Genomic DNA, 24,820 nt, shown 5'->3' with positions numbered 1-24,820 from the left:
TCCCCATCTGTAAAAGAGGGAGAGAGAGGCATGGGCCTTAAGATCTCTCTACCTCTAATCCAAATCGAGACATGGGTAAGGGCTAGGGGTATGGGACACAGCCAGGACAAGGCCAGTGCTCCCTTTGATGGATAGGGACCCCAGGGAACAGGGACTCAATCCAAGGTCACACAGCAAGTCCAGGGTAGTGGCAGGACTAGGTTCTGGGGGATGTGGTCTGTCCACTCTGGCTTCTCTATTTTTCTAAAGGAGAGGACAAGGGTGCCTGCCTCACGGTAGGGAGAAGAGGATCCCCAAGAATGGTAATAGCTGGGCCCACAGTGCTGAGACAGCAGGTAATGTGCCCACCCCTAGAAACCCCTGGCCTTCCTGGATCCAGAGGGCTGGCAGAGGGCCTGCCCCCACCCCCACCTGCTGTGCCAGGCTGCAGTGGGCATTTTTAAATGGGTGCCTGCCCCTCTCCTCCTTCCTGCCTGCCCACTCCAGGAACACAGTGAATTCTGCTGCCAGCCCTCCATCTTCTTGGGCCAAGCCTGAGTGGGCGCTAGCTCCACAGTCTTACTCTCTGCCTCCACCTCCAGGACAGCCAGGGCGATGTCCAGGGCCTCTTCCAGCTATGATAATCTAGGCCCAGAGAGGGGATGGGGCTTGCCCAAAGTCACACAGTACAGACAAGGAATTTGGGAATGTTATGCCACCTTCCAGGGCCCAGCAAGTTATCTGGTGCCACTCCAGGCCCTTCTGTTCATCCCTCTGCCCCTGCCCCTCCACAGCCACAGCCTCGATCCCCTCAGCTGACCTTCACACCCACCCTAGAAAGATTCTGACCAAGTCATTCCTCACCTTAAAACCAACCATCCAGAAAAAAAAGAGTTGCAGTCATAACTCATACTACACACCAGGATAAATTCCAAACCGATCAAGGAATTAAATGTAAAATAAAACAAGAAAACTGAAAATAGCAGAGAAAAAATATGAGAGAATTACTTTATAATCTTGGAGTGGGAAAGGCCTTTCTAACTATGACTCCAAATCCAGAAGCAATAAAATAAAAGCTTGATAAAGTAGAACACATAACAACAAAACCTTCTGCATAGTAAAAATATAAACAAAGTCAAAAGTCAAGTGACAAATCAGGAAAAAAATATTTGCAACTCATATGCCAGACAAAGAACTAACTTCCCTAATATTTAAAAGGTTCCTAGAAACTGATAAAAACAAAAGGCCAACAACCCAACAGAAAAATAGACAAAGGATATGAAGCATTCACAGAAACGGGAATCCATATGTCTCTTGGAGATAGAAAAAGATGCTCAACCTTACTCATTATAAGATAAATACAAATTAAAATACACTGAGACCTATCAGATTGGGAAGATACCCAAAGGTCTGAGTTGGTGAGATTGTGGGGAAATGGGCCTCTAACCTACTGCTGATGGCAGACCCCCATGGACAGCAGCAAAATGAGAATCACATTTACCCTGTATCCTAGCACTCCTAAGAAATGACCTACAAACAAGCTTGTTCACTGCAGCAGTTTGTAACAGCAAAAGACTGAAAAAACCTAAATACCTGTTAATATGTGGTTGCATAGTTTGGTATTCTGCAAAATGGGACACCATGCAGTACAAAAAAGAATATGAGGCCAGATGCGGTGGCTCACGCCTGTAATCCCAGCACTTTGGGAGGCTGAGGCAGGCGGATCGCCTGAAGTCAGGAGTTCAAGGCCAGCGAGGCCAACATGGTGAACTCCCATCTCTACTAAAAATACAAAAATTAGCTGGGCGTGGTGGTGCATACCTGTAATCCAAGCTACTCGGGAGGCTGAGGCACAAGAATTGCTTGAACCTGGGAGGCAGAGGTTGCAGTGAGCTGAGATCGCACCACTGCACTCCAGCGTGGGTGACAGAATGAGACTCCGTCTCAAAAAAAAAAAACAAAAACCCAAAATACAAAAAAAAAAAAAAAATATATATATATATATATATATATATATATATATATATATATATATATATATGAAAGCTCTCAAAATACTGATAAGGCAAGACCTGCAAATGACATTAAGTGTAACGAGCAAGGGGCAAAGCGGTGTGCTACCATCTGTGTGCAGGAAGGGAACAGATGATGAATTTGCTGGTGTTTGCAGATAAAAGGATTCACAAAGACACTACTAGCTGGGTGGCCTGGGGTCAGGCAGGGTAGGAAATAGGCAGCCAGGTGGGAAGGAGACTTTTTATCCTTTTGGATTTTTCCTAACCATGTGAATATATCATCTATTCAAAATATTAAATATATAAATTTAATTTAAAAAATTCACCTTGCAATCAGGCCCCTGCTGCCCACTCCAGCCTCACGTCTCATCTCTGAACAGCCTTTGCACCCCTCTTCTTCCTTCTCCATCCTGCCTCTCTAGGCTCCCTCCATGACTCTCTCTCCTAGACCTTCTGGGCTCCCCTGGCCTCGGAGTATCTCTGCCCCAGCCCGGACCCTGCCCTGGTGACACAGGCCTGATGTTCCTGTCTCAGTCTGTGCCTCCTCATAGCTGGGGCACCACCTGTGTTCCCAGCCTACATACAGAGGACGAGGTTCCCACTGAATGAAGACTGCACCAGAGAACAGGGGGCACTGCCTTGGAGCCCCAAGTTTGGAGCCTTTGTCTTTGCTTTCCCTCTTCTGTTTCCACATTGGTCTCCTCTGGGACAGTTCCAGTCTCACATGTGGTGTTCCTCCAGGAAGCCCTCCCTGCCCAAATCACATTCAGACTGGGGTAGAACTGTCCAATTCCTCCTTCAAGCCAAACGCTCAACCCCTGCCTTGGGTAGAGCGACCTCAGGGCTGGGCTTTGAGCTTCAAAGTGAGTCCCCAGCCTGGAGGAAGGTCCTGGGGTCAGAAGTCACTGGGTGACTCTGGCAACCCTGCCCCTCTCTGGGCCCCCATCTGTATGGCAAGGAACACAGACCAGCTGCTCCAGAGTCAGTGATGGGCAACTTTAAAGCAAGGTGGGGATTTCTGCTAGCAAAACTCCGGCAGAGCCCCCAGCCTGCAGAGTCCCATCCCTCCTGCATAGCCCCACTCTTTTCCTTTGGACAGCTGCCCGTGGGGAACTCCAAGCCTCCCTCAGGGAGCTCAGCTCATCCCCCTACCAAAGAGGATTACCTGGGCTACTCTCAGTGACCCCATCCTCTTCTCTCCATCCCTGGGGCTCTTCCTCAGCCAGCTAGGTCACTTCCCTCCCTCCCTTCCAACTTGTTTTACGGCTTCCCACTGATCCCCAGTGGTCTGTGGTCCAGCCCAGCCACCACAGACATAATCACATCAAATTCTCACCATAACCCTATAATAGGTGCCATCATCATCATCCCCATTTTACAGGTACATAAACTGAGCCACAGAGGGACTAAGTACTAACACGTGAGTACTCAGCTTTTCCAATGAATAATTACCCAGGACTATCCACAAAACTAAGAGGAAGAGCAGGATTTGAAGAAAGCCATCTGGCTTCAGTCTGTTCTAACCATTACACTAACCCAGCTGAATGTAAGATCAAGTACTTGTCCCCCGAGAGTCTCAATGACCTGGCCCTTGCTGACTCACCAGCATCAAATTTCCCCACCTTTACCACGGTCTGGCTGCATCATGTTCTGGCCACAGTAGTTCCTCCAACCCATCGCATTGTTACACCCTGGGCCCTTTGCACATGCTGGTCTCTCTGCCAGGTGTGGCTTCCTATGTCTATGTTTGGCAACTTCCTACTCATTCTACATTTTTCGTGGCCAAAGAAGTGGGAGCTTAGGCTGTATGGTGGACCAGGCAGGCTGGTCTACTAAGCGGGGCAAGGCCTAGGTCCTGAAGGGCCTCAGACCTGCCAGCCTCAGAGCTCAGTCTTTCTCCTGCCAACACTTGTTCATACTCTTCCTTTTACACACTACAAACTCTGGGGAATTCCTTCCTGATTCTAACCTAATTCACTCATCCTACAGGAGTCAGGACGATTCCTGGACCTCTAGAGAATGTGCTCCTGCCTGTCCACTGTCAGTGTGACTGAGCTGGGCTGAGACAGGGTGCACATTCTGGGAGCGTAGCTGGTTGCCAGCTCCTACCTCCCTCAAAGGGCCTGTGTCCTTCCAGGTGTCAGCAGGGGGCAGGCAGGATTTTCCCACCACTCCAACAGTTTGTCCTTCTGATCAAGTGGGGCCCAGCCAGCTCCAGGCCCCGGGTGGGAGGTGCTGCCTGCTCATAGGAGCACCAAGGATGGGTGGTATGCTCCATCATCCTGGCTGCGTCTGGAGACCTGGCCCCCAACAGAGTTTACCCCTGCCCAGGGAGCCTGGCTGGTTGCCCTTCTGAGCCTGCAGAGACACTGAAGGGAGAGGCTTGTCTCACTCTAACGCCTCCCATCAGGGAGGGCTTCCCTCTTTCCACAACAGAGATTTCCTGACTGAGTCCTGAAAGCTCCATGGAAATACATGGCGTGAGATGTGGTCCAGGGGGCAGACATGACCCTACTTTCACTTAAATCAATGAGATCAGCCTGCTTTATACTTCTGTGTCAAGATTCCTCTAGAAGAAAAGGTTCCACTATTTTTATTTTTATTCATTTATTTATTTTTTAATTTTTTGAGACGGAGTTTCACTCTTGGTTGCCCAGGTTGGAGTGCAATGTGCAATCTCGGTGCACTGCAACCTCTACCTCCTGGGTTCAAGCGATTCTCCTGCCTCAGCCTCCCGAGTAGCTGGAATTACAGGCGTATGCCACCAGGCCCAGCTAATTTTTGTATTTCTAGTAGAGATGTGGTTTTACCATGTTGACCAGGCTGGTCTTGAACTCCTGACCTCAGGTGATCCGCCCTCCTCGGCCTCCCAACCTCGGCCTCCCAAAGTGCTGGGATTACAGCCGTGAGCTTGGAAATTACCACTCTGGGATCAAGTCCAGGCTTTTAGGCCTGGCCTTTAGGAACTCCCGGGGCCCACCTGACCTCTCCAGAACCAGGGAGCTTTCATGGTACCCCAGACACACCAGGGCTTCTCCATCACAGGCCTCTACCTTTGCAGTTCTCTCTCCCTGAAGGGCCTTGGCTCATTTCTGCCTGTCAAGGTCTGGCTAGTCCTTCAAGATTCCAGCCACTGCCCTAAGTTAGCCTTCCCTGCCCTCACCCTTCTTGGCCTCCTTCGACCCCCAGTTCTCAGATGGGGCTTCTTGGGTCAGGAACCCCTTCTCCTTCACCCTGCGGCCCCCATGCTAACCCTGCACATACAGGCACCAGTGGGCCACAGTGCAATTGAATTTTAAAGGTTCCCCTGGGTTCCCCCAACCCGCCACTCAGAGCTTATTTCAGCGTTAATTATCCAAGACTAGTTAGAAAAGGTAGAAGCATCTGTGCAGTCAGGGCTCAGTCAATCCACCAATGACAGTGAACACCCCGGTTCTCAGTCAAATGGCTGGGCTGTCCCATGGGAGCAAGGTCTGCTCCCAGGCAGGAAGCGGCCTAGGCCCTCTCCCCACTCACCAGGCTCTGGCATCCACTGCCCAGCCCCGCCCCTTGCTGGACACTCAGAGGGTGGTACAGGAGCAAATTGCTCTGTTCACATCTCTCCAGATGGATAATGCCTGTTTATGTTACTTGTTGACATCTGGCTGCCCCAATCTACTCCAACTTTGCTGTCATCAAAGCTTGCTCCAGGGAAGGTCTCAGGCTCGGTCCTCACTCCTGATATCTGTACAGATGTCTTTGTGGGTATGGAAATCTGCTGGGGATTGAAAAGTGAGAAAGTGAGAGAGAGAGAGAGAGTGTGTGTGTACAATGCCTATATGCGATGCTCCTCAAGCTTTGCCTGTGTTGAGATGGGTGGGGGTTTGCTGTCAGCTTACCCCACAGTGTGGGAACTGTTGGTTTCAGTGTGCTCCCCTCCAGCCCGCAGGCTCCAGCAGGGCTCCTCTCTACATCTCCAGCCCAAGCACAGGGCCCAGCCCTGGAACGAAATTTCTTCCCCAGCACCCACAGCCCAGGCCTGGCCACACAGGAAGCGACCTGATGACTGAGGCCCAAGAGTTCAACTCATGGGACAGGACTCAGGGCTAGGGGCCCAGAGGGAGACAGGGCAGGAGGCTGGGGGTGGGGGAGGTTTGGGCTGGCTGCGGGTCTGGGCCTCTCTGGGCTCTTTGTCCAAATATGGAAGGTTTTTTTGTCTCCATTTGAGTCACGCCGGCCATGGCCCAAGAGATCTGCTTTCCAGATACTGCAAACGGGACTGCACTGCACTGCCTGGCCTGCCTGTCTCCCCTTCACCTGCCCGTGGCCCATCTCTCCACCTTCCCAAACTCCTGGGCTGAGTTCTCTCCGCCAGCAGAAAGCCCAGCACCCACCTCAGCTGCTTTCCAGCACCAAGAGAAGGGTCCCTGGGCCCATAAAGGGAGGAAACACTCATTCCTTCTGTGCCTGTCACCTCCTCCCACTCCCCAAGGGCCTCTCAAGTGCAACTGAGCCATTCAACTAATATTTACTGAGCAACTACTATGTGCTGGTTCCTGGGACTCAGACCATGGACTGTGAATCCAGTAGGATCACTATGTCCAAAGCAAAATCCACCCTTTCTTTCTGTGCCCACCTTGATGATGGCACTGCCCCCAACTCAGGCAGTCCTGAAAGCCAGGGGCCTAAGCACGGGTTCTGGAGCCAGACCATCTGGGTCTGAACTCCAACCCAGTGAGACTATCCTGGTTTGAATACCACCTCTCTCTTTCTGGGCTCTGTGACCTGAGCTAAGCACCCTCACCTTCTCTGGGCCTGTGTCTGCTTCCCATCCCACCCCCAATCAGTGCCGACTCGGGACGGCACCCTTTGCCCATCTGCCAGCTTCCACCTGCCTGGTCCCCAGGACAGCAGCAACATAGGGCTAGGCATAGGCATGGGTGGTAAGGGGAGCTGAGAGGAGCCTGGGCGCTCCCCCAGGGCAGGGCTCAGCTGTCCTCCTCCTGCCTCCCCCACATTATTTATTTAATAAACGTGTACCCAGGCTCCACCTCGTGCCAGGAACAGGAGGGCTTGGCATGGGTGGATCCACCCGACCAGAATCAAGCATTGGGTCACGGGGCAAACTGGGGGCTCCCACCCACATCTCCACATCCCAGAGCCTTAGAGGTCTGTTACCTCCGAAGCAGAGAGGAGCTGCAATCACTGTGTATCCTGGGACAGAGGCGGTTCCTGACACCTGGGCTGGGAAGCTGAGGGGGACTCTGCCCTACACGGCCGTTTTCCTAAGACCAGTCCCTGGCCAGGGGTCTCTGTCTGGCTCTCTAAAGGGAGGCAGGGTGACACAGATGGTCAGAGGAGATGAGAGACAGGAAGAGGAGCAAGACCCAGGGAGGAGAACAGGGAGAAGGACAGAGGACAGAAGGAGAGAAGAAAGCAGGGAGCCTCCATGAGAGGAAGTCCTGGTGCGAGTGGCTGGAACAAAGACACAGATGCCCAGGGGACCAGCAGAGACCCTCCACTGCCCAGGCACCACGTCCAGGTGATGAGATGGGGCAGGCCGGGCCCACCCTTCTCCTATTCCTCCACCAGCCTTGGGGCCAGGCCCGGGACTATTTTTAGCTGGGGCTGAATTTAGCCATTCCCTCGGAAATTCCTCACCCGCCCCAGGCAACGCCCCCGCTGGCCTTGGGGAGAAGCCTGGAAGTGGCGGGTCCAGGCCAGAGGGGAGGAGGGGCCCAGGAGCGGCAGGAGCTGGGAGGGCGCTCAGGCATCTGACAGGGAAGCAGGCTTTCCGCTCAGGCCCCCAGTGTGAGGCACTCCTCTCCCTAAAGCGCGGCTCTCCTCTTCTTCAGGAAGGCCTCCAGGGCTGCGGGGCCACAGAATAGCACTGGTCTCAGGATCTAGGGTACAAATATCACAAGGTTCTTTGTCTCTGACTACAGGACCCACCACGAGGGCTGCTGGCAAGGATGCCTGCCTGTGGACCTACCAGTCCCTCTCCCTCAGTTCCCAAAAGCCTGCATATTCTAGAGCTCTGCTGGACTCTGGAGGACTCCCACTTCACAGATGGGGAAACCAAGGCAGAGGGACTTGTCTTAGGTTAGAGCCAGCAAGGCAGCCCAAGCCTGCTCTTTCATTCCCTTCCATGCTCCCTCCATTAGGCCTCTCCCAGGAGGGCCAGACTGCAGGTGTGGCCTGGAGCTCTGGGGCTCTTCAGGGACCCCCCTGAGAGGCAGGGCACTTCCACTGGAGCAGAGGGTTTGAGGTCAGACAGGAGGCTTGCTGGGCACAGAGGCAGGGCTCACAGCCACCTCACTCTTTCAGAATGCAGAGGAAATTTCTGCCGAGACAAGAAGTGAGTCCCGCTCCCCCAACCCTGTTTCTGATATAACCCCTGAACCTAAATTCGAATTCCCAGATTCTGCCTCCAAATTGTCTTCCCAGTCAGTTCTCCCCTCGCCAGCTCCACATCCTCTGCTACCTAAGCTCAGGCTACTCATGTTCCCGCACCCTCATGTCAGATCATCACCTCACAACCAGAGGATACTGTGATGTGCAAAGCTGGCAGTGCTCCCAGCCCTTCCTCTCCCAGAAAGGGAGAGGGGAGCTGGCAGAGGGGAGCCCCTCTGCTCAGGCCATTTAACTCGGCACTTGAGGCTTTCAACCTGGTTCCTGCCCACACAGAGCCTCTCCCCAGGTGCTCTGGTCAAACTGAGACCTCCCTGCCCCTCTTGGCCTCAGACACATACAGGGGCTTCCCTTTCCTGCCCTGGCTCAGACAAGTTCCCTAAAATGCCAGGTGAACCACGTCACTGCACTTCTCAAGAACTCTCAGTGACCCCTTACAGTGTGAGGCTGGAGCAATGGTGAGATGCATGGGGGGGATTTCTGGCTCTAGTCCACTACTGTGTGGCCTTGGGCAAGGCCCCTTGCTGGGCCTCAGCTTCCCCATCTGAATGATGCAGGGGTGAGGAAGGCTAGAAAACATGGCTGGTTTCTAAGAGTCTTTCCAGGTAGACAGTTCTGGCATTAAAGGCCCTGGCCCTTTTCTTCCTCCTCCTGCCCTTCTGGCCTGCCCAGAAGTTGGACATCTCATCACCAGGCCCCATCCCAGGGAGACAGGGAAAGGCGGGGGATACCAAGAAACCCAGAGTGAGACCTCAGTGATTCAGGCAGCTAAGAAAGATGGAGCTATCGGGACCTTTATTGGGGGAAGGCGTCCCTCCCCATCTATCCACCCCTTCCCTTCCACATCTGCTCCTTAACCTCCAGTGCCCTGTCCTGGGAAAGGACTGAATGTTTGTCCAGGAGGTTGGGGAGTGGGGTCCCAGCAGTCCCTGGAGGCCCGGCTGTGGGGCTGGCTGGCAGCCAGGAACTCTGCCTCCCCGCTTCCTGCTCCACAGCGCTGTGCGGGAGCAGGGCCTGCTCACCCCCTGGGAACCAATAAACAGGAAACAGACACCAACCTTGTGCTTGCTCCCTCGGCTGGCCCCTCCATCACACTGCCCCCACTGCCTTCCCACTGGCCCCCGACCTGCTGCACCTCTCCAGACCCCAGAGTCTCAGGATCACAGGATGTCAGAACCAAGAAGTCACAATCTCAAAATCACAAATAAAAAAGAGGTCTGGACTCTTGGAAAAGAACCCAGAATCCTTCATCTTGAAACCACAGGATTCTAGACTCTGAGAATGACAATCTCAAAAGCATACACTAAGTGGCCACATTTCTGAGAGCTGTCTGGAGCCAGCGCCCAGGGCTGAGCGCTCCACAAGCATTCTCTCTTTGGCCCTCATAATAACGCCTTAGTGCCCCCATTTTACAGAGCAGTAAACTAAGGCTCAGAGTTGGGATCCAATGACTTGTTAATATCACCCGGCAAGGGGTCAGAGTCAGTTGTGATTTTAACCCTTATCAGTCTGAACCCAAAGCCCACCAGGCATACAGACACTCAGACTCACTGAGCCCCACTTCACAGGCCGCTTCCAGTGAGGGGCAGCTTTGATGCAGAGAGGGCTTTGCCTCTGCTCTCCTCCCCGTGTGGGCTGAGCTATCCTGGACATGTCACAGGGTGGGGCTGGTGGTAACAAAAGGAGAAGAGCTGGTGAGTGGAGCAAGGACAGTGGGCATGTGGCTCAGCCTCCAGCCCCGGTTTCTCCCTCCTCCCCACCTCCAGAGAACCAGGCTCGGAGCCACTGACTATGTGGGTACTGTAGCCAGGCCCCAACCTGCCTTCCTGTCTAGAGCTTTGTCTTCTGCTTCACGGCTGGAAAGAGGTGCCCAGCAGCCAAGAATCTTAGAATCATAAAACCTTAGCATCTCAGTCATGAGGGGAGGAGGTAACATTTCTTGAGCACTTACTGTGTGCCAAGCCCTCTTGGCATGCTTTCACTTAATCTCAGCAGTAGGCTGGGTGCGGTGGCTCATGTCCATCATCCCAGCACTTTGGGAGGCCAAGGCGGGAAGATTACTTGAGCTCAGGAGTTCAAGACCAGCCTGGGCAACATAGTGAGACTTTGCCTCTACTAAAAGTAAAAAAAATTAGCCAGGCATGATGGCGCATGCCTGTGGTCCCAGCTCATTGGGAAGTTGAGGTGGGAGGGATTGCTTGAGTCCAGGAAGTCAAGGCTGCAGTGAGCCATGATTGACCCACTGCACCCTAGCCTGGTTGAGAGAGTGAGACCCTGCCTCAAAAAAAAAAAAAAAATCATCATCATCTTTTTTTTTTTTTTTTTTTTTTGAGACGGAGTCTCGCTCTGTCACCCAGGCTGGAGTGTGGAGTGCAGTAGTGCAATCTCGGCTCACTGCAACCTCCGCCTCCCAGGGTTCAAGCAATTCTCTTACCTCAGCCTCCTGAGTAGCTAGGACTACGCCCTGCTAATTTTTTTTTTTTTTTAGTGGAGACAGGGTTTCACCATATTGGCCAGGCTGAGTCTTGAACTCCTGACCTTGTGATCCGCCCGCCTCGGCCTCTCAAAGTGCTGGGATTACAGGCATGAGACACAGCGCCCGGCCGAAAAACAAAATAATCTTAACAATAATCCTCTGTGGAGTGAGGGGATACTGCCCCCATCGACTACAGCCTCGGGGGAGTAGGTAAGTGCTTGCCTGGGTCTGAAAGCCAGCGTGCGGGGAGACAGCATTCTGGACAGCACCCTTTACCCTCCACATGCCACCTCCCTGAAGCCTCCCTAGGCCTCTCAGGGATGAAGGGACCTGACAGTTCCTCTGGTCAGACAGCACCAATGCCACCAATTCCCACATGGAGCTCCCAGAACATGGGGTTTCTTTCCTTCTGCCGCTGGGCTCTCAGTTCTGCCCTCAGATGGGGCAGCCTGGCAGAGACGTGACTCCCACCCCCTCCCTAGGTGCCCACCTTCCCTCCTTGCCCTGGATTTAAACTCTCCTATCAATTGCCCTTCTTGGGAGCGGCCTCATCCCACTTCTAGTCAGCAAAACTATGGCCTGCCACCTCTGGAAGCCAGGCCTGGCCCCAGGAACACATTGGCACTTCTGCCCCTGCCCCACCAGGCCTGGGCTCTGCCTGCCTCTGGACCTCACCCACCTCAGGAGGCTAGGATCCTTGGTGAAAGCTCCTGGCAAGGAGGGATGGTGTCCAAGTTTTCCCCGTGTGTCCCCACTGCCCAACACGGAGCTCAATGATTGACTGCTAAATGAATGAATGACAAATGAACATGGAAAGAAATAGCAAGTTAAATGCAGTGGGCCTGAGTTCGAAGGTTCTGCCCCGGGACCAGCACCAGCTGGGGACTCTGAATATCAGGAACCAACAGCCTGGTCCTTTGCCTATCTGTGCAGTAGAAAGAATAATGGCCCTGGCATTACATCCTCATGCTAATCCCCAGAACCTGTGAATATGTCACCTTACATAATAACAGGGACTTTGCAGGTGTAATTAAGGATTCTGAGATGGGAAGATTATCAAATTATCAGGTAGGCTTTAAGAACACAATGAATCACAAGGGTTCTTAAAGAAGGAGGAAGGAGGCCGGGCGCAGTGGCTCACGCCTGTAATTCCAGCACTTTGGGAGGTCGAGGCAGGCGGATCACGAGGTCAAGAAATCGAGACCATCCTGGCCAACATGGTGAAACCCCGTCTCTACTAAAAATACAAAAATTAGCTGGATGTGGTGGCGCATGCCTGTAGTCCCAGCTACTTGGGAGGCTGAGGCAGGAGAATTGCTTGAACCCGGGAAGTGGAGGTTGCAGTGAGCTGAGATCGTGCCACTGTACTCCAGCCTGGCAACAAAGCAAGACTCTGTCTCAAAAAAAAAAAAAAAAAGACGGAGGAAGGAGGTACGGGGTGAGCAAGAGATTTGAAGATGCTGGGGAAGATGGGGGAAGGGGCCACAGGCCAAGGAGTGCTGGCAGCCAGGAGAGGATGGTAAAGGCAGAGGCGTTGATCTCTCCAGGGCCGCCAGAGGCGGGCAGGCCTGTCAGCACCTGGATCTTAGCCCAGTGAAACCCTTCAGACTTTTGATCTCCAGACTGGAGAGTAGGAGATCTGTGTTGTTTTCAACCACTAGATGTGTGTAGTTTGCTACTGCAGCAACAGGACACTAATACACCACCTAGACCTCTGCAATCAGCACAGGTCTTCCCACCTCGGGTGTGCTCTGCCCTCCCCTCTCACCCTGTTCCTGCCTGGCGGCTTCTTCAAGCTCCACTGGAAAGAAACCATAGGAAGTTTTGTTTGTTTGGTTCTTGCTTTTTGTTCTGAGACAAGGTCTCACTCTGTCGCCCAGGCTAAAGTGCTGTTGGGCAATCACAGCTCACTGCAGCCTCAACCTCCTGGGCTCAAGCCATCCTCCCACCTCAGCCTCTCGAGTAGCGGGACCACAGGTCTGTGCCACCACACCTGTTTTTTATTTTTAGTAGAGGCAAGGTCTCCCTGTGTTGCTCAGGCTGGTCTCGAACCCCTGGGCTCAAGCAATCCTCTCACCTCAGCCTCCCAAAGTGCTGGGATTACAGGGGTGAGCCACCACGCCCGGCCCAGATAAAGGTTTACTGTCCCGTCAGCTGCAACATCACACTTCTGGACAGGCCCCACAGTGAGCACCACAGCCTGCCACAAGTGTGGAAAAAGACCCTATCTGGGGGTGGGGGGGATCCTAGAGCAGGAGGCGATGGTGGGGAAAGCACGTAGCGGGTAGACCCAGGCCTGAGTCCCGGCACCACTCTGAACCTGCCTTCTCAGCAGCCTAGTGGGATGGTGGGTCCCTGCCTGCCAGCACTTCATTCTGCAACCGAGATCCTCCTTAGAACTGGGTCCTTTCCCAACAGCCCTGGGAGGAGGTTTATCCTGGTGCCCAAGAGCATGGACAGCTCTGTGGCTCTGAAGGGGGATGGAACTTATTGAAGGCCTCACAGCAGGAAGGTGGTGAGGCAAAGCTGATCTCCTGACTCCTAGTACAGACACCAGGCTGTCCCTAGTGAACCCTAGAGCTACTGGAGGGTTGGGTCCTGGAAGTCCCTCCAGGGGCTCAGGCACTGTGGTTGGGGCCCCAAACCCCTGCATCTCATGGGCTGAGGTTCACTCACTGCACAGAGCCCAGCAGCCTGACAGTTTTCCTCTGTGTCTGTCTCTCCCAACCCCCAGAATGCCCCAGAGACCCTGGGAGCTGAGAATTAGAGGGAGGACATCATGGGGGGAATCAACTCCCATGGGGAGACATCAGCTCCAATAGGCTCCTGCTTCCCAGGGGACCCAGGGCCCCCATTTCAGGGCTTGCCAGCAAGGCGCCAGGCTGCCTGGGCACATTTCCCAGTAAGTACGCCAGGGCTTCAAGCCTTTCTGGGAAACATTGGCTCCCCCTTCCCCCACCCTGCTACCGCCATCCCTGCCAACTCTGCTTAGTGGGAACTCTGTGGGACCAATGTACGGTCTGGGAGTCAGGACACTGGGAGCCAAATCCCATACTCAAGCTTTGGGGCCTTGGGCAGACCCTGCCCACTCTGAGCCTGCTTCTTTATTGGACTATTGGAGCCATGGCAATGCCCACGTAGCTGGAGGATCAGATGGGAGGGATGGGGCTACCTTGGGGGGTAGGGGGAGGCATGAGCTCCCTGTCCCAGGAGACATGCACGCTGGAGCTAAATGGGTGTCATGGTGGCTGCAGAGGAGACACCAGTGGGATATGGCCCTGTCACCTGCCTCACTGGGACCCTGTGGCGGCTCCACTCTCCTAGCCTTTCAGCCAAGCCAATGTGGGTCTGCAGGGGGTGGCCAGTGTAGCGCAAAGCCCAGTCCACCCTGGGGACTTTTCAAACTCCACCTCCCCACCCTAAGTGACCCCTCACACACTGCCCAGCCATGTGAGAAGTTGTAGCTCTGTGTTCACCTTGAACATTGGGGTCCAGGCCCTTGAGGAGCCCCTGGGGCTGCAGCAGAAACCCACCACTCCACCATCTCTGCCTGGGCCCAAGCCACCATCATCTCTTGTCCAGATTATTCCAGCAGCCTTCTGACTGGCCTCACAGCCTCCACCTGGCCCCTTGCAATCTATCCACATGGAGCAGCCAGAGCAGACCTGTGAATGCTTAAGTCAGACCAGGCCACTATTCCACTCAGAACCTTCCAACAGCACCTGCCCCATCTCACTTTGAGTATGTGCTGAAGTCCTCCTATTGGCCTACATGATCTTCCTCACCCTAACCCACCTCTGATCTTCTACTTCTCTGCTCCATCCATACAGTTCTCTTGACTGTTTCTCAACCACCTCAGTGCCTTTGCATCTGCTGTTCCTCTCTGCCCAGAATGCTGTTTCCCTCAGCCACCTGACCTGCTCCCTCACTTCCTCCAGGCTTCTGCTCAAATGTCACCTCCTCAGACAGGCATTCCTGATCTCTTGATCTAAAGTACCCCACCCTGTCATTCTCTACTCCCTTATCCTGCTTTATTTTTTTCTCGGACCCTACCACTCCCTGACACAGAATATCTCCATTTACAGACAGGCCTCCTCCCTAGTCTGGAAGCTCCACAAGGACAGGCTTTTGTTTTGTTTGCTGCTGTATTCCCAGGCCTAGAAGGCCTGACATGTCTTATTGCTCAGACAGTATTTGTTTAATGGATGAATGCATTACCCTATCAAAGGCCACCTGAGTCTCTGAAACAAACTTTTACTGCACACAACCTGCCATATTTCTTTCCATCTCCTAGCCTCTGCTCATGCTGTGCCCTCTTCATAGAGCCTCTCCCTCTTGCTCAGTGTTCAAGCTCAAGCTTAGGCAGAGCCTCTTCTAGGAAGTCCCTCGGCCAGTTTCCAGGCTAGTCCCTCAACATCCTAAGCCCCTTCGAGTTGGCTTCTAGATCCTACACTCTGTGTGCCTCGGCTCCCAGGAAGCCTGGGGGTGCCTCCACCCTGCTTTGGGGCAGCAATGTGTAGCCTGAAAGATCACAGATGGGAGGGTGGGAGGGAAGCAGGAGGGGTAAGTCCCTACACGGGGAGAGGGGGCTGGGGACAGGATTAGCAGCAGCCTCTCCGCCTCCCAAACCCAGCTGGTCCCAGAAACGTGGGGCTGGAAAATGTCAGACTCAACTCTAGTCCATCCCCCAACCCTTCCTCGCTGGGGAGGACTCATTCCTGGACAGTGTTCCCCCCAAGAGCCCAGGCCCTTAGGAAGGAGTTGGGAGGAGATGTGAGGAATAAACAGAGGAAAGGGGCTGCCCTTCTGCCTGTCCTCCCTCATCTCACCCCCTCCTGCTGGGTGACAAGACATTTAATTATAGATATTTGGTACCGCTCAGAATTCCAAGTGTCCTAATCACCTCCTCCTTTCCCCCCAGAACCAGTTTCCATGGAAAAATCACACAAAGAGCCAAGGAGGGGAAGGAGAGAACCTCCACCCCCGCAGGTTCCCCGCCAAAAGGGGAGAAAGAAGGGTGACTAGAAGAGCTGTTGCCAGACCTTCATCAGCAAGGCAGGGAGCTGGCTGGGTAGGGAGGGGGTCTGAGTGGAGAGGAACAAGGCCAGGGTCCTGGTGCATGGGCCTGGTTCTGCCCGCCCTTGCTGTGTGACCTTAGACCTAGCATTCTCCCTTTCTGGGTCTCAAAGTTCTTCCCATCCCAACCCCAGGCCCTGGTGAATTAAATAACCACTATGAAAGTGTTCAGGCTGTTGGGGATGTGGAGGTGACACTCCCAACTGTCTGCTGACTTGTCCCCGCTACTCAGATGGCAGGCCAATCTCCTTGGGACCCCTCACCTCTAAGACACTGATATGCTAGGATTCAGGGTGAATCCAACAGTCTTCGACTCTAAGTCTGCACTGTAAGATATCCACAGCTTTCACAGTTGAAGAATGAAACAGATAGTGTCTGGCACATAGCAAGCACTTGATAAATGTTCGTCATTGTTACTGCTATTTCAGTATGTTAAAATTTCGTGAGTTCATCTGCCTATGATGCTGAGAGACAAGTCACCCCCTGCTGTGGGCTACAGTTGTGGCATGTGTCAAACGGGTATCAGGGACCTGAGGGCAGAAGGTGGGACTGCAAGACTCTGCACTTTGAGGCTGGGGCGGGGGAAGCTCTCCCTCACAGGAAGAGTTGTTGACCAACCAGGCTACAGTGGGCCTCAGTGGAGGTAACAAGAGTGTGGGAGGGGCGGGGCAGGGAGGCCTGACAGCTCTGCCTCCTCACCTCCCGGCACACAGACAGGCATTCCTGGAATAAATGACCCATGAGCTACTGTTACTCCCTGTTCTCCTGGGTTCATGCAGCTATTGCAGACAGCTGCCTTTCTCTCCCCTCCAGCCACACCGCTGGCTCCTCCCATTTCACTTGACACCCCCTGCAGGCTGACTCCCTCCTTCTGAGCCTCACAGACCAGGCAGTCTAACCTCCCACTGTACAGATGGGAAAACTGAGAGACAAAGATGACTCTGTCCAGGTCTGAGTGAGTCAAAGGCTGAGCCAGGCCTGGCCCCAGGCCTCCCACTTCCCGGCAATGGGGGCAACACCACACAGAGCACGAATGTGGACCTGAGGGTGAAGGACTCCCTACAGCCTGGGGGGCGGGGGGCATCCCCTTAGTCCCCAGGGACTGCCAGAAGCAAAGAATGACAGCTCCTCTCGTCTCTGCTTATTCTGGAGTCCATACCACGCCATCTCCACCCACGGCCCAGGGAGCATGACTGGAGCCTCAGGCTTGAAACAAGGGAACATTGTCTCCTCAACAGAGGCCACCAGGAGGGGGTGGACAGCTGCTCCCCATATTCTGGGAGCCAGAAGGAAGGGGACAGCAGGAGGGGTTCAAGCTAGCAGATGGGAGAACTTCCAGGCTTTATGAGGGTGTGGGAAATTGGAGGATGATGGATGTTCTCAGAGGCTACTGCAGTCCACCAGGTTATACTGAGGCCCCCGAGGACCCAGCCCTGTGTTCACAAGCCAAGCCTGGTGGCTGAGAAGCAGCTGGGCAGTGCAGCCTCCATTTTTCTTCTTTCCTGCTACCAGAGAGGAAATGATCACACCACCCATTCACCACAAGAGACAGCCTGCCAGGCAGAGGCCATTACCCCCATTTTATGGAAGGGGGAAGTGAGGCACAGAGCAGGGATATGATGGATCCTAGGCCACACAGGGATCAGAAGAGCAAGGCTCACACCCTGCTCTTCTAATGACAGACTCACCAGTTACCTCCCCCTAAGGGGACATCAAGCTGGGCCTGGAAAAGTGAGAGGCCTGGAGTGGGCAAAAGCTTGGAGATCAGAGAAGGCCTCTGTTCGTGGCAGGGAGAAGCCCATGTTATGGCAGATCTGTCCCGCCTCAGAGCTCCAGAAAGGGGTGGGGGGTAGAGGAGAATGTGAAGGGAGGTGGGGCAGGAGAAGTTCTGTAAACTCCCACCTCCTCTCTGGGTCTCAAAGCCTTCTCTTAGAAGCACCCCCAACCCACCTTCAGTCTCCCTGAGTCCCTTGGTTTACTCCTGTCCTCTCCCCCATTTGAGCCTTCAAGGCTCCCAGAAAAGATATATGGGAAAGGAGGCTGGGGAGGAGACCCCTGACAAGAACTGGACCTGCTGTCTTCCTCCCCTCCCCCACCTTCAGAACTGGCACTGGAGTTCAGGGGCACCGGAGCTGCCCTCACTGGGACTCAGAAGGAAGGACAGGTTCAAAACGCCCCGCTCCCCACTCCCTGCCTGCTCTCTCTGCAGCCTCCATGAGAAACCCCAGAGCCAGGACCAGGGGTAACTGGAGACAAGGAGAGAGAAACAAAGAGAAAGGGAGTTCAGAGGGGCCATGAGAGTGCTGGGAAAGGGAGTGACTGAATCAGTCCAGGGTTTATAATTTCCAGGCTTCTCACACAGTCAGGGAGCGCAGTGGGAGCGCAGGCCACAGTTGAAGTAACCACTGGCCATCGCTGAGCTCAGCTCAGAATCCACAGCCTGGAATCTAGCTCCCAACCCAGATGCCAGGGCATATGCCATCTGGATCCCATCTGAATCCACAGCCTAAACTCCAGGGATAGCTGAAGCCAGAAGGTAGAAGGAGGGGTCTCAGGGAGAGTGAGCCCCCAGGGCTGGGGGTCTGGCAGAAACGGGGTGCATCTCAGAGTCACCAAGAAGGGGGTAGAGTGGGGAAAAGATGCAAGCAGACAGGATGGGGGAACAAGAACCGACCCCCCAGACCCATAGAGGCAGCCCTGAATATGGGGCCCAGAACCACTCCTGACCTCTCTAAAGGGCCCTGGCTGCCCAGCCTCTGCAGCCCCCTCCCTGCCTCTATCCTCCCCTAGAAGCCCCCATCTAGAAGCTTTTTTCATCTGAGGAGGCTCTGGCAGAACTCAGGCCCCAAGAGTCCCCAACTCAAAACCGCAGGCTCCCCCAAATCTGCACAGTACCAGCTGGATGGAAACATAGGCACTAGTTTGTCCACCTATCTCCCCTGATTGGGGAGATTAAGTCACAGAGAAAGGCCAATGTCACACAGCAAGAACAGAACTGCAGTTAGAACCCTGAGCCCCCTCTGCTCCTCCATAAAGTAAAGCCTTGTACCTCCCCAATTCTCCCAGGCCCAGGAACACATCTATATTCTGACCTGTCACAGGAAAGCCACACGAAGAAGGGCAAACCCATGTCAACTGTGGCCCCTGAGCCAAACATCCTATCAAGGGTCTGGCCAACAGAGTAGCAAGCCTCAGAGAAAGGACTGAGCCTGCGCTGGGTGCCATCACACTCATCCCTCCAACAAAGAACCACACAGGGATTTCCAAAACCAGTCCCTGAGAAACATCCAAAGGACAAGATAAGAATCCTTTGTAATTACCACCCAGAACACCTGGAGCAGACAAGACCCTTTGCCATTAGCACCAGCAGAAAACTGAAGCTTCTACAGGGCCTGAGTAGACAGGAGCCCTGTGTCATTAACAACTCTTAAAACTGCACAGGCACTTCCAGGACCAGAAAAGCACCCTTGGCACCTGGGCACCTGACCAGTGAATACAATGCAAAAGGCTCCAACCGAAGTCGGTGCCCATGGCCCTTCTTTGGCCCCAATCTGAAGGCCCCTACAAAGGACTCACCACCTGTGGCTTGCTGCAGCACTTGCTGGCAGGGGTAGGCTCATCTGCAGGCCGAGCTGCCTCAGGGGGCTTGGCCTCAGCAGAGGGCGGTGCAGCCAGAGGCAAGCAGGGCATGTCCACTGGCACTGGGGCAGGGACCTCACCGGAGTGCAGGTTCAGCATGTACTGCTTGGTGACGTCCTCGAGCGATGGTGCCTGCAACGTGGGATGGGCTCGGGTAGGGAAGCCTATGGGTTCTGGCACAGCCACAGGGGGACCAACAGAAGTTGGTGGCTCAGGCACCACAATAGGCATAAATGTGGCGGGCACACTGGCATGGCGAACGTGTCTGGAGGAGGGCCGGGCCCGAGACAGGCTGCCAGTCTGGTCCTGACTGCCCTCGTCTCTCCGAAGCTCCTGGTGACTACTCCGAGCTGGGCGCTTCTTGGAGCCTCGGCGGATTAGCCTCGGGGACAGAATGTCAGCCAGCTTGGGGTCAAGGTGAAAGTTTCGGTGGGCAGTGGCAGGGGGAGGCAGAGCCTCAGGTAGGGCCCTTTCAGACTGTGCCCGGCTCCTGGTGGCACCAGGTTCTTCTGGCTCTGCCCGCTGCTCTACAAGGATGGGCTCGCTGCTGGATGGAGGCAGCATGGGCTCAACTTCTCGGATGGGCTCCCCTCCAGGGCCCTCGAATCCAGGCCCAGCCAGCTCCCCACGGCGGCTGGGGTCACTCAGGGATTTCTTCTTGGGGGCTTTGCCAGCAATCCTGTCGTCCACCACACGCCCCAGGGTGCCAGGCCCCTGAACTATGCTCTGAATAACCTCCTGATATCCCTTGCTCTCTTCACTGCCCACAGACCAGTCACTGTGACCACTGGTCAAGCCCTCATCCATGGCTGAGGTGGCAGGGAGCCCTGTCTTGGGGCTCAGTGAGCCCAGGAGGTTGCTGTCCACAGAGAACCCAGTAGGCTCTTCAGAGGTGGCAGCCCGGTGGCGCTGAGGAATTGGGTCACTCAGGGACCTGTAGGCCTCCCCTGCCTCCCCATTGCTCAATTCGCTCCCACCAGAACCTGAAGGTGGGACTTTGCGTCGTCGGCGGAGGGCACCTGGTGTGGGAGGGGTCTCAGGCGACACCAGGGCCCACCCGCCCAGACTGTCCTCAGTCCCAGGGCCATGGTGGTTCGTCTGGGCCGAGGATGAGGAAAGAGGTCGCCACATCCCTGTGGTACCCAGGCCGCAAAATGCTGCAACAGGAGGCTCAGGGTCTGCCCCAATGCCTTCATCTGTCAGACTGGACTCAGGGCCTGAGAGCTCCTCCTGGGACCGCTGCCCTCGGGTCACATCCCCTGCCCAGTCAGGGCTTCCAGGGGGGGCATCGCTTCCATCATCTTGTTGGGCACCCATGCGCTGGATCTTCTCAAAAACCTGGCGGGCCTCCTGCACATATTGGTCCTGGACGATGAGGGGCAGCGGATCCTCCTCGGCACCAGGGCCTGTGAGCAGGAGCTCGGAGGAGCTGGACTTCAGAGCACTGGTGCGGGGCAGGCGGCGGGCCATGGGCTTCTCAGAGCAGGTGAATGACTTTGCTCTCCGCAGAGTGGCTGTCAAGTCCTTGAGTGTGGGGCGCGTGCCAGGTGATGCTGGGGCTGGGATGGGTATGGGTTCAAGTTGCCCCACAGGGCCACCTGCGGATGGTGAGTCTCTGCCATCTAGGGGGTTGCTTCCACGGTCCCCGGAGCTCCCACCAGGTTTTCGGACCCTCAGCTCTGAAAGGTCTGAGCGCAGGAAACTGAGAAGCGTCAGGGTCTCTGAGGCGATATCTGGATTTGACAGGGACTTCCGCTGTCGACTCTTTTCAGGCTCAAATCCTCCATCCCTCAATGCCCTAGAGGTGCCTCCAGGTCCTTTGGCACGGGTTCGAGCCTGGGACCGCAGGAGCCCTTCCCCAGCTCCAAAGCTAGGGGAGCGGTACACGCCCCAGCCCCCAGAACCCCTACTAGACCATAGGTCGTCGTCCTTGAGGGTCTCCGTGCTGGAATAACGGCTGCTACCGCGGGAGCCTGCGGGGCTGGCCAGGTACGAGGGAAAGCTCACCTTGGCCACACGGAAAGCTCCTCCCACAGAGTCAGACATAGGCCGAAGTCCCTCCTGGGGACCTGGGACGCAGGGCGGAGAGCCACTACCCCACTCCCGGAGTCCTTCTTCTCTAGGGGCTCTTGGAGATGTTGGGGGCTCAGGGCTCCCAGAAACCCCTGCTGAGTTCATGCTGCTTAGATTTAACCCATCACTGTCAGGCCTGCAGTCCTGATCCAATAGGGAGCTTCCAGGCCTGAGCCCGGGCCTCCCTCCCCAGCGGTGGCCGCCCTCACCGTCTCGGTCGTCGTCACTGCCCGAGGAGTGGCCGCCGTGGTAGGCCGGACTCTGGGCTCCAGGCAGCTGCGGCGGGCCCTCCTCTTCCTCCTCGCTGGAGCTGGCAGCACGACTGCGGCTGACAGGATAGGAGGCGGCGATGGAGGAGGAGGAGCAGGAGGCCCGGGCCCCGGCCTGCGGTTGGGAGAAGATATGCCAAGAATGTAAACCATCCGCTGGACGCTGCGCCCGCTCCTGTTGCTGCTGCGGCCGGCGCAGCCTCCCTTCGGTCTCCGGCCCGGTCAGGGGCCGCGCCGAACGCAGACCCGCCAGGGGGAAGCATGTCCGAGGGGGTGGCGTCGGTGGCTGCCGCGACTCCCGAGCCGGAGGCTCCCACGCGGCACCGTCGGGGCTGGGCGTTCCTGGGGATTCAGAGTCGGCGCTGGGCCTCCTGGAGCCAGGACCGCCGAAGAGCTTGCGCATCTCGGTGACGCTGGGCCAGGCTCCTCGCGCTGGGCCCTCGGCCGCTTCTTCCGCGGCCGCGGGTAAGACGCCTCCGTCTCGGGTCCCAGCGGAGCCGTCGTCCAGACGCGGCGCGTCGAAGCGCCGGGAGAGCTGGCGAACCGACGGCGAGAGGCTGCGGAGCGGGCGCGGCTGCGCGGGGGCGGCCAGGGGCCCAGACGCCAGCTTGGACACGCGCCGAGAGGGCTGGCCCCGGGCAGCCGTGGTCGGCCGGCACGAGGCGCGTCGCCTCAAGCCGGGGGTGTCCGTGTCCTCCTCCCTCAGCCCGGGGCCGCCGCTCCAGCGCTCCAGCAGCTTGAACGAGACGCTGCGGTAAAGCTGGGGCCGGGGTGCCCCGTCCGCCATAGTGGCGTAACTCACTCCGGGGGGGCTGGCCTCGGGCAGCCGCGGCCAACCCCCCCTGCGCCCCCACTCCCTAGGAGCGCAGCGGCCCACGCCGAAAGCAGCGCACGGGAGTGTGGGAAGAGGACGCAGAGACCGGAGCAGAGGTTTCTCTGCCGCGGCTCAAGTTTCTGTGGCCACCGGCCGCAACGTCTCCATCCCGGGCGGCCCCTCCCGCCTCAGCGCCGACCCCCAGGCCCAGCCCCCGCCGCGGCTGGAGCGACCAGGGGCACCGCGGCACCGCCTGGGCGGGATCCCAGCGCTTGGTTCCTCGACTCTGCGTCCGCCTGCCCAACGCCCTTGGCTGCTCGCTCCTGGCACCCTTTTGTTGCAAATAAACTTTGCGGCAGAGGCAAGGGGGCGGGGGGCGGGGCCTCGCGCCCAAAAGAGGGGGTGGGCTCCGGGCGTGCGCGAGCCTGGGAACCGCGTGGTGGGAGGGAATCAGGGAGGAGCCGAAGAAGAAAAAGCCTGCTGGAGGACTTGCAGACTGAGGCGACCCTCTGGCCCTCCAGAGAGGTCCCTCGGGAGCCCAGCAGGCCGAGCTGCCCCCAGGGAGTCGCTGAGACACACACAACCGCTGAGCGTGCTCAGCTCCGCAGACTCGCAGCCAGGGCGCCGCGTCCACCGCGGGCCACCAGCCTCCGCGCGGAAACACCTCCTGCCCAGGGGCTCCAACATGGCAACCTCGGACTCACAAACTCTCGTACACACTGACACTCAGGTGCACGCAGACGCACACTCTCTGGGCCGGGAAAGGGGTGGGACTCGGCGCCAGGGAGAGCCCGGGGAGCCGCGGGCTAACTGAAGGGTCCGTCGCGCCCTACTCCCCGCCCAGGCCACGCCTCCTCCCCTTCCCTCCCCCTCCCCGCCCGCCCTCTGCGGCGAATTTAGCTGTAGCCACGCCCTTGTCCCCCCATCTCGCTCCCAAGCGCCCCGCCCATCCCACCTCCCAGCCGCCTGTCCGGCTCCGACCGGCCCCCAACCCGCCCAGCGTTGCTCCAGAAGTCCCACCCTTCACGACCGCGCCCCCACCCCTACTTTTCCAGCTGCCACGCCTTCCACCTGCCCCTGCAGTCTGGCGGCTCTTCTCCTGGACTCTCCGCCTGGATCCCCGAGCCTTTTCTTCTTGCTCTGGAGTACGCGGCTCTTGCGCCCCCTCGCGGCGTGATTTTCCCAACGCACGGAGTCCTGGACGGATAAAGCAGCACCCATCCCCCAAAAACGGAGAGTTGTGAAAACTTCCTTTCAGTCGTTACCTAATCCCCTTAGTCTTTTTCAGACCTTCGCAAAGCGCACTGCCCCTTCTTAGGCCTTATACACAAAAGGAGCTTCGACGGGAACGCCCTCGACTTCCCACTGCCAAACCTATACTCTTACCCGCAGCTGCTTCACCTTCTTGGCAGGAAAAGTGTCGGTTGTTTCTCTGGCTTCACGCTGATCCCTCGCTTGAGCTCCCCTCCCGCCCCTGCCTCCGTCTGAGTCTCACATTGTTCTCGGTATTGGGGCATCATCCCCTTCCGCATTCCCACCTGCCTCTAGATCCCATTCATCCTCCCGGCCCAACTAACGAATGAACGAACGAATGAAAATGTATGGAGTACCTATAATGTATGGGCAATATTATTTAACTTATTTTTTAAAATCCACAAACCACCCTTGGGGACAAATATTATTACCCCTTCTCTGTGGACCGTGAAGGAGAAGTAACTTTGACCACTATGCAAGTCAGGAAATAGCAGCTCCTGCTAAAATTCAGATTTCAGGGGCTTCAAACACCATGCTCCTCCAGCCAGCTCTGAGATGCACCCCCAAATCCTGATGAAGAAGGAGGTTCTCGTTCCTTTGAGCCCCCAGTCTCCTCCTTCTCCTCCTTGGGCCTGAGCTCACTCTCCTCAGGAACAGAGGATAACCTGGTCTGACCCATGCCCCTCCAGCGCTGCCCAGCCTTCTTCAGGCCTGGTCAAACTGCCCTGGCCCCTCCAACCCCCAGTAGCAAGGCCTCGGGGACACATAGTTAGGTCAGCAGTCTGTGCATTACCCAGCCAACCCCACTGCCACCAGGTCCAGCCAAGGAGATGTA

General features: G+C 56.2%; 1 protein-coding gene and 1 long non-coding RNA gene across 2 annotated transcripts in view, besides 12 other annotated features; one reads left to right on the top strand and one right to left on the bottom strand.

Annotated features, from left to right (window-relative positions):
* Positions 1-23,067, bottom strand: part of ARHGEF17 (Rho guanine nucleotide exchange factor 17) — a 61,113-nt gene extending 38,046 nt beyond the window's left edge. Inside the window, exon 1 of the mRNA NM_014786.4 lies at positions 19,513-23,067. Coding sequence (NP_055601.2) covers positions 19,513-22,704 — 3,192 coding nt within the window. The 5' untranslated portion in view covers positions 22,705-23,067. The remainder of the gene's footprint in view (positions 1-19,512) is intronic.
* Positions 345-639: a silencer, noted in NCBI's record as "tiled region #2623; HepG2 Repressive DNase matched - State 5:Enh". NCBI's record gives its function as "represses a minimal TATA promoter and a strong SV40 promoter by Sharpr-MPRA in HepG2 cells {active_cell/tissue: HepG2}" and the evidence as "EXISTENCE:reporter gene assay evidence [ECO:0000049][PMID:27701403]".
* Positions 5,365-6,016: an enhancer, noted in NCBI's record as "H3K4me1 hESC enhancer chr11:73036372-73037023 (GRCh37/hg19 assembly coordinates)". NCBI's record gives its function as "activates a minimal SCP1, AML or CMV promoter by ChIP-STARR-seq in naive H9 embryonic stem cells {active_cell/tissue: H9 hESC(naive)}" and the evidence as "EXISTENCE:reporter gene assay evidence [ECO:0000049][PMID:30033119]".
* Positions 8,630-9,282: an enhancer, noted in NCBI's record as "H3K27ac-H3K4me1 hESC enhancer chr11:73033106-73033758 (GRCh37/hg19 assembly coordinates)". NCBI's record gives its function as "activates a minimal SCP1, AML or CMV promoter by ChIP-STARR-seq in naive H9 embryonic stem cells {active_cell/tissue: H9 hESC(naive)}" and the evidence as "EXISTENCE:reporter gene assay evidence [ECO:0000049][PMID:30033119]".
* Positions 9,283-9,935: an enhancer, noted in NCBI's record as "H3K27ac-H3K4me1 hESC enhancer chr11:73032453-73033105 (GRCh37/hg19 assembly coordinates)". NCBI's record gives its function as "activates a minimal SCP1, AML or CMV promoter by ChIP-STARR-seq in naive and primed H9 embryonic stem cells {active_cell/tissue: H9 hESC(naive and primed)}" and the evidence as "EXISTENCE:reporter gene assay evidence [ECO:0000049][PMID:30033119]".
* Positions 9,936-10,589: an enhancer, noted in NCBI's record as "H3K4me1 hESC enhancer chr11:73031799-73032452 (GRCh37/hg19 assembly coordinates)". NCBI's record gives its function as "activates a minimal SCP1, AML or CMV promoter by ChIP-STARR-seq in primed H9 embryonic stem cells {active_cell/tissue: H9 hESC(primed)}" and the evidence as "EXISTENCE:reporter gene assay evidence [ECO:0000049][PMID:30033119]".
* Positions 16,814-16,993: an enhancer, noted in NCBI's record as "active region_5234". NCBI's record gives its function as "activates an Ori minimal core promoter by ATAC-STARR-seq in GM12878 lymphoblastoid cells {active_cell/tissue: GM12878}" and the evidence as "EXISTENCE:reporter gene assay evidence [ECO:0000049][PMID:35858748]".
* Positions 21,252-22,072: an enhancer, noted in NCBI's record as "H3K4me1 hESC enhancer chr11:73020316-73021136 (GRCh37/hg19 assembly coordinates)". NCBI's record gives its function as "activates a minimal SCP1, AML or CMV promoter by ChIP-STARR-seq in naive H9 embryonic stem cells {active_cell/tissue: H9 hESC(naive)}" and the evidence as "EXISTENCE:reporter gene assay evidence [ECO:0000049][PMID:30033119]".
* On the top strand, positions 21,982-23,832 carry ARHGEF17-AS1 (ARHGEF17 antisense RNA 1). The gene is made up of 3 exons (NR_147696.1): positions 21,982-22,671; positions 22,779-23,461; positions 23,787-23,832. It is a non-coding gene; the product is annotated as an ARHGEF17 antisense RNA 1 (long non-coding RNA).
* Positions 22,078-22,955: an enhancer, noted in NCBI's record as "H3K27ac hESC enhancer chr11:73019433-73020310 (GRCh37/hg19 assembly coordinates)". NCBI's record gives its function as "activates a minimal SCP1, AML or CMV promoter by ChIP-STARR-seq in naive H9 embryonic stem cells {active_cell/tissue: H9 hESC(naive)}" and the evidence as "EXISTENCE:reporter gene assay evidence [ECO:0000049][PMID:30033119]".
* Positions 22,078-23,155: a biological region, named in NCBI's record as "H3K27ac hESC enhancer GRCh37_chr11:73019433-73020310".
* Positions 22,376-22,595: a silencer, noted in NCBI's record as "silent region_3739". NCBI's record gives its function as "represses an Ori minimal core promoter by ATAC-STARR-seq in GM12878 lymphoblastoid cells {active_cell/tissue: GM12878}" and the evidence as "EXISTENCE:reporter gene assay evidence [ECO:0000049][PMID:35858748]".
* Positions 22,826-23,155: a silencer, noted in NCBI's record as "silent region_3738". NCBI's record gives its function as "represses an Ori minimal core promoter by ATAC-STARR-seq in GM12878 lymphoblastoid cells {active_cell/tissue: GM12878}" and the evidence as "EXISTENCE:reporter gene assay evidence [ECO:0000049][PMID:35858748]".
* Positions 23,556-23,695: a silencer, noted in NCBI's record as "silent region_3737". NCBI's record gives its function as "represses an Ori minimal core promoter by ATAC-STARR-seq in GM12878 lymphoblastoid cells {active_cell/tissue: GM12878}" and the evidence as "EXISTENCE:reporter gene assay evidence [ECO:0000049][PMID:35858748]".
* Positions 23,833-24,820: the final 988 nt, after the last annotated feature.

This window comes from Homo sapiens, chromosome 11 (assembly GCF_000001405.40).
Source record: "Homo sapiens chromosome 11, GRCh38.p14 Primary Assembly".
Classification (NCBI taxonomy): Eukaryota; Metazoa; Chordata; class Mammalia; order Primates; family Hominidae; genus Homo; species Homo sapiens.
This window is presented reverse-complemented; position numbering and strand designations above follow the sequence as displayed.